At 38.2% G+C, this 15,036-nt stretch overlaps 1 protein-coding gene across 11 annotated transcripts in view; it reads left to right on the top strand.

Moving 5' to 3' along the window:
• PLD1 (phospholipase D1) overlaps positions 1 to 15,036 on the top strand; it is a 210,080-nt gene that overhangs the window by 183,623 nt on the left and 11,421 nt on the right. For all 11 annotated transcript variants that reach the window (NM_001130081.3, NM_002662.5, XM_047448316.1 and 8 more), the window contains 2 exons: positions 6,341 to 6,475; positions 14,429 to 14,582. In NM_001130081.3, coding sequence (NP_001123553.1) covers positions 6,341 to 6,475; positions 14,429 to 14,582 — 289 coding nt within the window. The remainder of the gene's footprint in view (positions 1 to 6,340; positions 6,476 to 14,428; positions 14,583 to 15,036) is intronic.

Here is a 15,036-nt window from a genome sequence, read left to right as displayed (position 1 = left end):
GTTTAGTGCTTCCTTCAGGAGCTCTTTTAGGGCAGGCCTGGAGGTGACAAAATGTCTCAGCATTTGCTTGTCTGTAAAGTATTTTATTTTTCCTTCACTTATGAAGCTTAGTTTGGCTGGATATGAAATTCTGGGTTGAAAATTCTTTTCTTTAAGAATGTTGAATATTGGCCCCCACTCTCTTCTGGCTTGTAGAGTTTCTGCTGAGAGATCCGCTGTTAGTCTGATGGGCTTCCCTTTGTGGGTAACCCGACCTTTCTCTCTGGCTGCCCTTAACATTTTTTCCTTCATTTCAACTTTGCTGAATCTGACAATTATGTGCCTTGGAGTTGCTCTTCTCGAGGAGTATCTTTGTGGCGTTCTCTGTATTTCCTGAATCTGAATGTTGGCCTGCCTTGCTAGATTGGGGAAGTTCTCCTGGATAATATCCTGCAGAGTGTTTTCCAACTTGGTTCCATTCTCCCTGTCACTTTCAGGTACACTAATCAGACGTAGATTTGGTCTTTTCACATAGTCCCATATTTCTTGGAGGCTTTGTTTGTTTCTTTTTATTCTTTTTTCTCTAAACTTCCCTTCTCGCTTCATTTCATTCATTTTGTCTTCCATCACTGATACCCTTTCTTCCAGTTGATCGCATCGGCTCTTGAGGCTTCTGCGTTCTTCATGTAGTTCTCGAGCCTTGGCTTTCAGCTCCGTCAGCTCCTTTAAGCACTTCTCTGTATTGGTTATTCCAGTTATACATTCGTCTGAATTTTTTTCAAAGTTTTCAACTTCTTTGCCTTTGGTTTGAATTTCCTCCTGTAGCTCGGAGTAGTTTGATCGTCTGAAGTCTTCTTCTCTCAACTCGTCAAAGTCATTCTCCGTCCAGCTTTGTTCCGTTGCTGGTGAGGAGCTGCATTCCTTTGGAGGAGGAGAGGCGCTCTGCTTTTTAGAGTTTCCGGTTTTTCTGCTCTGTTTTTTCCCCATCTTTGTGGTTTTATGTACTTTTGGTCTTTGATGATGGTGATGTACAGATGGGTTTTTGGTGTGGATGTCCTTTCTGTTTGTTAGTTTTCCTTCTAACAGACAGGACTCTCAGCTGCAGTTCTGTTGGAGTTTGCTAGAGGTCCACTCCAGACCCTGTTTGCCTGGGTACCAGCAGCGGTGGCTGCAGAACAGTGGATTTTTGTGAACCGCGAATACTGCTGTCTGAACATTTCTCTGGAAGTTTTGTCTCAGAGGAGTACCCGGCCGTGTGAGGTGTCAGTCTGCACCTACGGGGGGGTGCCTCCCAGTTAGCTTCTCAGGGATCAGGGGTCAGGGACCCACTTGAGGCAGTCTGCCCGTTCTCAGATCTCCAGCTGCGTGCTGGGAGAACCACTGCTCTCTTCAAAGCTATCAGACAGGGACATTTAAGTCTGCAGAGGTTACTGCTGTCTTTTTGTTTGTCTGTGCCCTGCCCCCAGAGGTGGGGCCTACAGAGGCAGGCAGGCCTCCTTGAGCTGTGGTGGGCTCCACCCAGTTCAAGCTTCCTGGCTGCTTTGTTTACCTAAGCAAGCCTGGGCAATGGCAGGCGCCCCTCCCCCAGCCTCGCTGCCACCTTGCAGTTTGATCTCAGACTGCTGTGCTAGCAATCAGCGAGACTCCGTGGGCGTGGGAGCCTCCAAGCCATGTGCGGGATATAATCTCCTGGTGCGCCATTTTTTAAGCCTGTTGGAAAAGCGCAGTATTAGGGTGGGAGTGACCCGATTTTCCAGGTGCCATCTGTCACCCCTTTCTTTGACTAGGAAGGGGAACTCTCAGGGTTTTGTTTTTTTTTTAAATCTCTCTTGATTATTTTTTTGAATGCATGAACTATGCTTCCAATAGCCAGAACTATACAAAAAACATATTTAAATAAATGCCATTCCTCTATACTTTCAGTTTCTACCCCAACCATCTTTTTCACCCTGTACTTATCCATCCCCTATTGGTAACCAATTTCATCAGTTTCTAGGTTAATCTTGTTGTGTTTCTTCTTGGAAAAATGCTCAGATAGTTGTATATTTTCTTATTTCTCCTGATCTCTTTCACAAAAAAATATACTGCATATTCTCTTGTTCACCTTGCCTTTTCCATTTAACAGAATATCCTGGAAATCACTCCCTATTAATTCACAGAGATCTTCATTTCTCGTAACACTGCATAGTCTTCCATATGTGGATTTGCGTTTATTCAATCACTGTGTTATGAATGGGCAATTAGATTGTCTTCAACAACCATTATATGCTTCTAACGGAACTACATACAATGGGTAACTGTGTATATATTAATATATATACATATATTCTTATTTGTTGAAGGTATATATTTAGCATAAATTTCTAGAGTGGGATTGCTGAGTCAGGAGGTAAACACATAGGTAGCTTTGTTAGATATTGCTAAATGACCCTTCAAAAAATTTGTATGAATTTGCATTTTCATCACCAATATATGAGAGAGTCTGTCTTCAACCCATTCTCACTAACAGAATATGTTGTCGTACTTTTTATTTTTTGCCAATCTTATAGATAACAAATGGTTTCTCAACGTCATTTTTATTTGCATTCCTATAATTATGAGTCAAGATGGATATCTTTTCAAATGTATCTTTTGTGTGTGTGAATTGTCTATTCATGTGTTTTGCCCATTTTTCTATTAAGATTTTGATTTTCTTTTCCCTTCAATTATTTAGAGTTCTTTATATGTTAGGATTATCACCTCTTTATCTGTGACATGTACTGAAAATACTTTCTCCCAGTTTGTCTTCTGCCTTTTGTTTTTTGCTTGTCGTGTTTTGTGTCATGCAAACGTGTTGTTATTTTTTTAATCTAACCAATTTACAAATCTTTTTTTTTTTTTTTTTGCCTCTGGATACTTACAAAATCTTTCTTACATTTGAAGTATAGAGGAATTCACCCTTGCTTTCTTCTAACACTTGTCTGGTTTCATTTGCTTACATTTTTATCTCTGATCCATTTGGAGTTTATTCTTGTTAAAAAAAATTTGGAGTTTTATCTTTTTCAGGTGGCTATGGAACTGTACTAGCACCTTTTTATTGAAAAGGCCTTGTCCTTATCATTTGAGCTGTTTCCTTTATCATATACAAATTTTCCTTATGTATTTGCATCTCTTTTTGGACTTTCTATCCCATTCACTGGTGTATCTGTCTATTTATCTGCTAGATCTGCACTGTTTTAATTATACAGACTTTATAGTATGTGTTAATATCTGATAGGGCTGGCCTGGCACGGTGGCTCATGCCTGTAATCCCAGCACTTTGGGAGGCCGAGGTGGGCGGATCACGAGGTCAGGAGGTCGAGACCATCCTGGCTAACATGGTGAAACCCTGTCTCTATTAAAAATGCAAAAAAAAAAAAAATTAGCAAGGCGTGGTGGTGGGCGCCTGTAGTCCCAGCTACTTGGGAGGCTGAAGCAGGAGAATGGCGTGAACCCGGGAGGCGGAGCTTGCAGTGAGTCGAGATCACGCCACTGCACTCCAGCCTGGGTGACAGAGCGAGACTCCATCTCAAAAAAAAAAAAAAAAAAAGTCTGATAGGGCTAATGACTCATAGCTTTTCTCTTCCATTTTTCTCAATTTATTCTTGCATGTTTATTTTTCCATACAAACTACAGGTTATCTAACTCCATGAGAACTTGTTGGCATTTTTACCATTACATTACCTTATATTACATTACATTAATGCGATCTCATGTAATGTAATGAGATCACATTAAATTTATAAATTAACCTGGGAAGAGTTGACATATTTCTAATGGTGAATTGTTCTATCCCAGAACAAGAGCAATCTTTCCATTTGTTCAAGTCTACTCTTGTGTCTTGATAGTTTTTTAACTTTTTCTTTATAAAAGTTTTGCACGTGAACCATTAAGTTTATCTCTTTTATTTTCTTTGTTGTCATTCTAAATGAGGCTTTGTCTGTGATTATATTCTCTAAGTGGTTATTGTTTTGTGTATATAAAGGCTATTGATTTCTATATGTTAATTTATATCCTGTTATTATATTTAATATTTTTATTATTTGATATAATTTTATTACTGATTCTTCAGGTATGTTTTCACAGTATCTGCAAGTGAAGATGACTTTACTTTTTATATGATTTCTCTTATACAACTATATTGGCTGATACTTCCAAGGCAATATTAAATAGTATTGAAAATATTATACCCACATATGCATATAAATATATAATACATATATTATATATATTTTCAGCATGTTAAGAAAGTATTCATCATTTCCTACTTTCTTCATTGCTTTTATCAGGAGTGGATACTGAATTGTGTCAAAAGCTTTCCAGCATCTGTTAAAATAATTATATTATTTTTCTCCCTAGATTGATCAATATAATGTCTAATAATGGATTTCCTCATATGAGCAGACTTGCATCCTGGAATGCATCTCACTTGGTCATGGTGTATTATTTTCTTAGTGTATACTAATCTTAAATAATTATCAAAGCTCTATGGCAGTGTCATTCAGAAACAATATCCCCTCGGGGACTTACTGAATTGATTTCCGCTGAATCAGAATTCTGTGAAGAGTCACAGGAATCTGCTTTTAACAAATTCCATAGAGGTGGTCTTTGTGCATGCTGAGAACCACTGGTCTACTATATTGTTCAATGTGAATTTTAATGGAAATTACTGTAAAAAAATATTTACTTTAGCAAAGGTCCTGCTCCATGATTCCTTTGAAAAGCTGCTTTGTATCTTAAACTTATAAATTCTAGATCATGATCCAGCTGTAGGAGAGTAGATGATACAGAGAAATTAAAAGGTAAAATATTTTTTAGTTTCAGCTGATACCTGAATATTCATTTATCCACTCATACATTTATTTAGCTTTTTTTAGCACTGTGAAAGGATGAGAAACAAAAATGTGTAAGACCCAGTTCCTGTACAACAGTAGAATAACTTGAAGATTATATAAATGTTTGTAAGATACTAGGCATTATTTAGAAATGTTTTCCAGGAATTTTATAGGTCTGAGGGGCTTAAAAAAGGAAATGGATCAGAAAAGACTTAAAAAAGGAGGTGATTCTTCAGATGAAGTGTCTTTCCAATATAACATTAACAAATGGGGGAATAAATTGCAAAAACCTCATTTACATGAAACGTTTTAGAAATGCATCTCTTACACATGGTGTACTAGTATACCAACATTTCAACTCTCATCAAACACAGCTATACAACATCACTCATATATATATGAGGGGAGAGCTATCTCTAAATGGAGGCATCTCTATACATAACCTATGAATGAATTTCTTTCCAAGATACCCAAACTTAATAGAAACACTGAATAACATCAGTAGCAAAATAGAAACCATCAGTAATAAATGGAAACTTCAGTAAATGGGAGATGAACTGCCACCCTTCTATTAGTATGCTTCAAATTCTCTTAAAGACAAAAAAAAATGTATGCTCTCTTTCTATGAGAATTTGTGATAGTTTGGTTCCACTCCATTTATTCTTGGTATCAGACTTGCTTATCCAAGACAACTGCTGTGTGGGAGAAAGACCATAAAAATCCTGTGACTAACACTCACAACAGGGGTCATGATTATGACTTGGCTTAGTATGGAATGTATTTCTTCTTATCATGTGAATGGCCCCCATGTGATTAGAGGGATGGCAATATTTTGAAGTACAAACCTGGTGCTGCTTGCTCTGAAGAAAATTCTAAGTCTAATGTAGTAAGGATTCTTCTGTTTCCTAATTTTAATGATCTAAAGGGAGGAGTGGTTTTTCATTGCCAACATTTTTATTTACCCAAAGTCTGCAGAATTTAACTGATGCTTCACGCTGAATATGCTACAAATGATGTAGCATCAGGTGGTTTGGCACACACCTTGCATCTGATTCAAACTGCAGCAAGTGTCAAGCAGGATAGAAGCAAATGTCACACTGAAGTCTTGGTTAATCTATTCCAGCTCAGTTTTAACCATCACTCTTCAGTAGTTAACTCATCAAATCATTAAAATAAAATGTTCATATATGAATAGCTTTTTGGATTGCCTTAGCAAAGGGAAGACAGAAAACACTTCAATTAAAAAAAAAATATATATAATATATATATATATATATATATATATAGAGAGAGAGAGAGAGAGAGAGAGAAAGCCATTCAGACTGACAATATGAAATTCAGATATCAAAAATAAATCCTGGATGAATTCTGAAATAGAAAACATATACATATAATATACAATCTATTCTGAACAGTCTAAGTAGTATGTTTTGAGAAACAATAAGATTTAATGTACGTTTATTGAGCTTGGTCATATTAATTTTAATAATTTCTTTTTAAATTTGCAGTTGGTAATCAGTGGATAAATTACATATCATTCTGTGGTCTTAGAACACATGCAGAGCTCGAAGGAAACCTAGTAACTGAGCTTATCTATGTCCACAGCAAGTTGTTAATTGCTGATGATAACACTGTTATTATTGGTAAGTACAGTATATGGTCTATAATTGTATTCCTTGCCAGTTGACTTACCCCATGCAAAAATGTTTGCTGCTATTCCTCCTAAGCATCCTTTGCATTTGAAACAGACAGTAACACCATAACTAAAACATTTCTGAAGCCATCCTCTTCTCTTACATCCTTTCTAACCCAGTTGTTGAAATTGTTATAGGTACAGAATAGGTGTATATATTCATGGGGTACATACGATGTTTTGATACAGTCATACAATGTATAACAATCACATCAGGGCAATTGCAGTACCTATCACTTCAAGCATTTATCATCTCTTTGTGAACTAAACTATTTTTATCTGTGAAGAATCAGAGGTACAGAGCAATTAAATGGACTTCGTGAAAATTGCAGAATCCAGAGGCAGCTGTTTAACCCAGCAGTCCAATAATGTGCCAGATTTCACTAATTCTTTATTACTCCCTTTTTTTTTTAATTTTTAAAACTATTTTTGAGATGGGGGTCTCGCTGTGTTTCCCAGGCTGGTCTCAAATGATTCTTCTACCTCAGTCTCCCGTGTGCTGGGATTACAGGCCCGAGCCACCACACCCAGCTATCCCCTTATTTTTATTTACAATCCAAGTGCCCAGATTTCAGGGATTGGTGGGGGATAAATGGGGAGGGAAAGTGTGTCATAAGTGAGTACCTTGTGGTAATTCGTATGTGTTTATACCACATCCACCTAACCATTACCACAGATCTGAAGTTGTACAAAAGTCGAAATCAGAAGGATGGTAAAATATTGCTGCCTCTATGCATTACCACTATTTTTCCTAACATGCATGTTTTCCATGTCATTAATTAGGATGTAGAGCAGTCCAACTTTGTTGATGTGTATGGATGAAGTGGGAATTGTGTACTAATGATAGGATGTAGCCCTGCACTAAGGTCTGCAGTCATTTCTTGTCAAGGATACACAGGAGACTTTTCCAAAGGCCTCTTCCCACTGACAAATTCAGGAGAGTTACTCTCCTAAATAACTTGTACATTCTACCCAAATTAGATTAGCTTGACAAGAGAGGTAGATGTTCAGCTTCATTCTTTTATATACATAGAAAGCTTCATTCTTCCATCATTGAATTATTTTGACTTCTAATATTAATATTATATAAAATGAGTATTGGAAGTCCAGGATGATAGAGTATAAATAATCAACCAGGTAAATGAGGTAACCAGTGTGGGTCATGTTATTTAGAGAGATGATGTGTCCTACTAATGGGAATTCTGCTCATCTGTTTCAAATGAAATGTAGTTTATCAGCTATAATAAGATACTTTCCTATTATTCAAGAAACTAAATGTCATGGAGTGTTTTGAAAATTTTGGACAATAAATATGCTTTCTATTCTCCACTGAGAAAAGAAAACATATCTCATATCTGAGAAGAATAAAACTGTCTTATCTGGAACATGATTTGAATAGAAAAGAAACATAGTTCTGAAGCCAGAAACTGTGTAAACCACAGTGTGGTGAGATACATACACACACACACACACACACGCACACACACTTTTAATATTTGTATAGCACATTAAAATAATATTGTTCCTTTATCTCCTCGTCTATAGCCAGAAACTGTGTAAACCACAGTATGGTGAGATACACACACACACACACACACACACACACACACACACATACACACTTTTAATATTTGTATAGCACATTTAAAAAATACTGTTCTTTTATCTCCTGGCCTATAGGGATAAAAGCTCTTTAGGAGTTTATTTATTCCCCCATTTGCCCTAATACTCAAGATTTCATTTATTTCTCCTGAGCTACTCTGACTTGCTCTTCAAAAGCAAATCTCAGAATACTTTGGAATTAAATTTGACAATGACAGTAAGAAATAAAAACTATTGATGTTTGCTGAAATGGAAAAATAAACAAAGCCACATATTTCTTCACCAAGATTTCAGAAGCCTTGAAGTAAAAACTGACAGATGTAAATATTTTTTTGAAAGGTCATTTTGACTTTCAGCCTCGTTTACTTTACATGAAGTATAAATACAAATTAGTTTTTGGTAACAGAGCTAACAGTTAAATAAATTTGTTGAGGTTTTTAATTGACTTATTTTCTGGAAAAGTCTCTAAACACTCAAAGACTCCAATTTATTTTGTTTAGCAATACTTGATCAATTTTGCACACAATTCTTACACATTCTCTTGAAACTGAGGATATGGCCCTGGGAGTCTAAAGAGGTCTTACTTGCTAGTCCTTGGAGGCTGGATTCCTTTTTTCCTTCCCCAAGTGCCTTAGAGAATCGATTTCTCCCAAGGAAAAAATCCAGAGTTTCTTTTGTTCTTTTTATCTCGGTGGAAACTCAAGAATAAGCAGGTTTATTGTTACTGTTCTAACACATTCACCCTATTTAAGTTCCTAACACAGAAAACAGTGTTTAAAATTCTCAGAGACGAGTTTGAGAAGTTAGGTTGAGAATATTTTATAGGTGTTAAGGAAGTATTTAAACATTTAAAGGAGGTTTAAGTAATGTATGATTAATTTTTCTTCCATGGCAAACTTATGCCAGAATGATTGAATAGCTGACATAAGAAAAATGACCATTTATCTTCATTTTACTCCTCATGAGGAAATATTTGTTTTCTCACACTGAAGATCTCTTTTGTGCATAGCTTTAATTGCCTGTGGCCCTGGGTAACCCTGCTGGTCATGAAATCTGTGACCAAATCCAGTTTTCTTACCTATCTTAATTTTAGCCTTTAACCAGACACACATATATTTGGTTTCCAAAACAAAGCCAAGCTCCCCTTCAAGTAGATTTTAAGCCTATCCTGATGACTAAGTGAAACGGTTGTTTTTAATGTTCACTAACCCACTGCAAAGCACAATAGAGAGATGCGAAACGTGAGTAAAACAGCGCCACTGCCCTCCCAGAGATCACTGGCTGGAGGAGAGGCAGCTACTCCTTCCATATGAGAGCAGAAACACTAGGATGGATGTTGCCAAACCAGAACAAGAAGGTTCAGGGGCAATCAACAAGTGTGGGTAGGAGGAGAAACTAAGTCGAGCTCATGAGTCTCAGGATTTAAAGAGCAGGCTTCACTGTGGCAGATGAGAGGCTGGAGTTGAAGGGCTGCCCCAGTAAAGAGGGGGATATTTCCTCATGTCTGCAATTTGCTTTTAAATGGATCAAAACAAAAATATAAATTAACAATGGATACAGGGATGGAGTGGTATACCAATGCCTGGTTCTTATTTCTAGAAATTATGATCTAGTTGGTCTGGTTTGGGGCCAGGCATTTGGGTTTTTTTGGTTTTGTTTTTGGCATCAGTATTTTTTAAAAAGCTTCCTTGTTAGCTTTCCTAGGTAATGCTCATATGTGGTCAGAGCTGAGAACTTCTGACCTGGAGGCAAAGGAAATACAAGTAGGCAGAAAAGACAGAGTAGCCCAGTGTGCTCAATAGAAGAACCAGTTTTCCTTCAAAACAAACTAAAACGGGGTAGAGTTCGTGCGTTCGTTTCCCATTACTGCTGTAACAAATGACCACAAACTTAGTAGCTTAAAACAACACAAATTTATTATCTGACACTTCAGTAGGTTAGAAATTCAGCGTGAGTCCCACAGGACTAAAATCAGAGTGTGAGCAGGGCTGTTGCATTCTTTTAGAGGCCGTTAGGGAGAGTCCATTTCCTTGTTTCTAGAGGCTGCCTGCATTCCTTGGCTCACAGCCCCTTCTTCCACCTTTAAAGTCAGCAACATTCTATCTCTGAAAATCCCCAAAAGTCTCAACCCATTCTTCTGTAATCATAACTCAGTCTGACTCCCTTTCACTTTTACAGATCTTATGATTGTATTGGGTCCACCTGTATAATCCAGGCTACTCACTCTATTTTTAAAGTTAGCTGATTAGCAACCTTAATTCCATATACAGCCTTAGTTCGCCTTTGCCATTGAACATATATTCACAGTTTTCGGAGATTTGAACACGGACATTTTGGAGAGCTGCTATTCTGCATACCACACAAGGATTCACAATTTCTAAGTGAGACACACAAAATAAGCACAAACCACAAAGGAAAGATAAATCCAACTGCATTAAAATTCAGAAATTTCTTCATTAAAAGGTACTGTAAAGAGAATAAAAAGATAAACCACAAACTGAAATATTTGCAACCCATTTAATACACAGAACACATAAAGAACTCCTATAAATCAATAAGAAAAAACAAATGTCCAAAGAAAAATGGGCAAAGAAATTGTATAGGAACTTCATCAAAAAGAACATACCCAAGCCTCATAAGCATGTGAAAAAATGTTGCTTCTCATTAACATGAGACAAATAAGAGTTTTTAAAAATACCAGACTGGCAAACAGTTAAAAGTTGGGCAATCTAAGTATTGGCATGGCTGTGGAGCAATACAGACTCCCCTCCACTGCTGTTGGGAGTGTAAGTTGGAAAACATTCTGGTGTTACCTAGTAAAGTCATACACCCTGCAGCTTAGCAACCCACGCCTACATACAGAGCCTAAGAAACTCACACATGTCTATACCAAGAAACAAATACTCAGCTATGTAGAGCAGAATTGTGCATCACAGCAAAACTCTGGAAGCAACCCAAACATCCATCAATAGCAGAATAAATAAAGAAATCCCTAGTGTGTTCATTCAAGGAAAAGAAATGCATTACAATTATGTACAGAAAAATCTCAAAGACATAAGACTGAATGAAAGAAGCAAATCTCAAAGGACTATCTGATATATGATTCCACTTATATAAATTAAAAACAAGTCAGAAGTAAACTCTTTTTTTGTTGTTTAGGAAAACATTCAGAGCATGATGAACACAAAGTTAAACATCAAGTCTTCCTCTTGGGGAGGGAAGGGTATGCATGGGAAGGTGCACAAAGCCTTCTGGGATGTGGTAATATTGTTTTTGGCCAGGGTAATAAATTCAGTGATGACTATTTTATTATTGCTTAAGTTTTACACACATATTTTCATATAGCCTTTTGTATTTTGCCATATTCACAATTTTTAGAATGTTTTCTAATAGCACTCAGAACAGGTCATATAAACAAGAAGGATGCTTATAGAGTAAAAGACCAAAATTCCCCTTATTTTCTTCTCTCTCTTCACTGAAAAGCACCTACTATTGTTAACAGTTCAGTGTGTATCTTTCTAGATCTCTTGTTCTGTCTTCTTCCTCATATGTTGTATAAAAATAGGGTAATACTACAACTGTTCTTCTGAATTTGATTTTCAGAATACAGGAACAAATGGAGGGAGCATTTACATCCATCATATCTTATTATATCTAATTTATTCATTCATCTAAAATTTTCTCATTTCTTTCCTCACATGCCTATTAAATAGCAGCCAACACACTTATTTAATGTGGTGGAGAGTCAGTTATCTGGGTAATTCCATGTTGGCCCTTAAAATACAAGAACGACACCCTCTGTCTAATAATTCCAGCTCAGAATGCTGGAAATGTATTCCTCACCTCGGGAGTGTCGGGGCCCACTGTGGTGGGAGAGGAATGGGGGCGCGTGGGAGAATGTGTGTGCGGAGGGGGCTTTCCAGGCTGGCTCACATCCCAGGTTCTCCTGACCCGAAACAAAGCAGTGATGTCAGTTCAATCCAGCAGCCCCCGCCTGACAGCGGCCTCTGCTGGCTCCAGGGGCACAGTAAAAGTCCTAAAGTAGCAATATGGGATCTTCAATCTTTGAGCTCCTACAGTTCACACATGGGGCGATTAAGCCAGAGAGGAGGCTTCTTTAAACAAATGCTACATTCCATCAAATGGTCGGTTCCTATGGCAGCATTCTCCGGTGCAGTTATTGTAGAGTTAACAAGGATCTGATAATAATGCCAGTAATAATTAACATTTGTAGAGCAGCTTGTAAATCATTAAGTGCTTTCACATGGTCTTACTTAATTCCCACAATATCCCTACAAGGTCTATATTATTATCTCAATTTATGAAAGATTATATTAAAGCTGAGAAAGATTAAGTGAATTGCCCAAATTAATGTTGGGGCAACTGTCAAGCTCAAAGATATAGCTGCAAATTTTATAGCATAACCACGATGTAAGTCTATGTATAAAGGATGATTTGGTGCTAACAAAACAAAGTGTTTCAAAGGTTCCCACTTTTCAGCAGCACTCCAGTAGCATTCTCACATTTCTGTAGGGTGCTCGATCCTTTCTCTGTTACCCAGGGCCACCATGGGGAAACACTCACATCCATAGTCATCATAGATTTATATATTAACCACATGACAATATTCTGGCAACAGGCAGTAAAGTCTCTTCAGGAAAGGGCAGCTTTTCTCATTCATCTCACCATTTGAGCTCTGGTAGGGCTGCTGTCACCTTATAGCTCTGGCTGCTCCAGTCAGAGGGCCGCCAGGGTGCCTGTTCAACCTGACCCTTCTGCTCCACGTCTGAAGAAGCAGTGGAGTTGTTGCAGCTAGAGCAAGAGGAACAAGAAGAGTCAGTCAGGCCCTTTCTGTAGTTTGCAGGACACCTCAAGGATTCAAATGCATGAATCTGCAGAGATTAATGCAAAAAAACGTGATGAGGTTCCTGAATACACAGCAGAGGACTGCAGAAAGCACAGGTTGAACTAATAGCAAAATATTTGCCCTTCACATGTAAAAGTCAACATTCTCAGCTCACTTGGATTTAAAAAAAAAAATGGACTCCTTGAATGAACCAGGTATTGAGCTAATAAAGAGAATTAATAATTTTAAAAAATAGAATGGAGGAAAGTTGCTACAGAAGCTATTGGCATGCTACACAAGTGAGGGAGGCAAGAAAGCAGAAAGCCCAAAGCCACAAATGACAATCTGTATTTGAGATTATACTCTATTAATTATGAAGGTACTCTTGAGTTTTGACATTCACAGTTATGTGACTTTGAGTTAAAGCCTACAGAGAGCCTGATTCTTAACTCCAAAAGCAAAGCCATCTTTCCTACTGAACTGGTAGGCATGCCTTTTTTCAAGTGCTTGATGATTGTAACAGTTAGAATCTTTTGTGCCACAAGGTAGAAAACTCAACTAGAAGTGTGTGTGAAACAATAAGGAACAATGTAGAAAATAAGGAAAATATATTATTTCACATGACAGAAGGTAAGAATATTCAAAGGTTGGCTAATTCAATGACTTAAAGACCCAGAATCTTTCTTCTTTTTTAATTGTTATTTTTATGTTTTGTTTAGAGATGAAGTCTTGCTCTTTGGCCCAGGCTGAAGTGCAGTGGTGCAGTTACAGCCCACTGCAAATTTGAAATCCTAGGCTCAGGCGATCCTCCTGCCTCAGCATTCCGAGCAGCTGGGACTACAGGCATGCGTCACCACACTCAGCTAATTTTTAAAAACTTTTTGTAGAGACCAGGTCTCGCTATGTTGTCCAGGCTGGTCTCAAACTCCTGGCTTTAAGCGATCCTCCTGCCTTGGCCTCTCAAAGCACTGGGATTACAGACATGAGCCACCATGCCTGGCTCTTTTTTCTACTTAGCATTTTCTTTAAGCTTTTTTGTTTGTTCTCTAGTGGTTGTGAAATGGCTGCAGCAGCTCCTGGAATCATGTCTTCTTCCAACCCTTCAAGCCAAGATATCCAAAGGATGGAAGAGACAGAATCCATTTTTTGTGTGTTTATACAAAGGGGAAACTCTTTCTCAGAAGCTTTCCTTCATGTCACATTGGCTAGCACCATGTCAAGAGCCCATTTCTAAGCCAGTCACTAATAAAAATAATGAAATTACCATGGCTGGCTTAGACTGATTAAGATTCACCCCTGGGTTAGGGAGGGCCCCACCTCCCTAAAAACACATCTTCCCTTGAAAACCTGGACAAAATTACGGTTTTGTTTGCAAGGATGAATTGAGTTGGGAGGGCAACCAACAGTGTCTGCCACAACAGGAAGGTTGTTCAGCCTCACTGTTTCTCCTTACAGGCTCTGCCAACATAAATGACCGCAGCATGCTGGGAAAGCGTGACAGTGAAATGGCTGTCATTGTGCAAGATACAGAGACTGTTCCTTCAGTAATGGATGGAAAAGAGTACCAAGCTGGCCGGTTTGCCCGAGGACTTCGGCTACAGTGCTTTAGGTCAGTCCGCCAAAGTGTGTCTCTCTGATGCATTTCCACTGCAGCAGTCGCTGGGACCCAGCCCCGCTAGCCCTGAGCACATGGGTCATCCTAGGTTCTTCTTCATCTAAAACAGTGTGTCCCAGAATATAGGATATGTACCACCAGTAGTATGCGAAATGACTTTAGGTGGTACATGAATATTTTTTATTTTAATAGCTTTTTATTACTGTCACGTGCAGTAGAAAAAACTGCAGTGGTGCAGTTACAGCTCATTGCATCCTTGAATTCCTAGGCTCAAGCAATCCTCCTGGCTCAGCATTCCGAGTAGCTGGGACTACAGGCCCGTGTCACCACACCCAGCTAATTTTTAAAAATTTTTTGTAGATACCGTGTCTCGCTGTGCTGCCCAGGCTGGTCTCAAACTCCTGGCTTTAAGTGATCCTCCTGCCTTGGCCTCTCAAAGCACTGGGAT

The sequence above is a fragment of the Homo sapiens genome, chromosome 3 (assembly GCF_000001405.40).
Source record: "Homo sapiens chromosome 3, GRCh38.p14 Primary Assembly".
NCBI lineage: Eukaryota > Metazoa > Chordata > Mammalia > Primates > Hominidae > Homo > Homo sapiens.
This window is presented reverse-complemented; position numbering and strand designations above follow the sequence as displayed.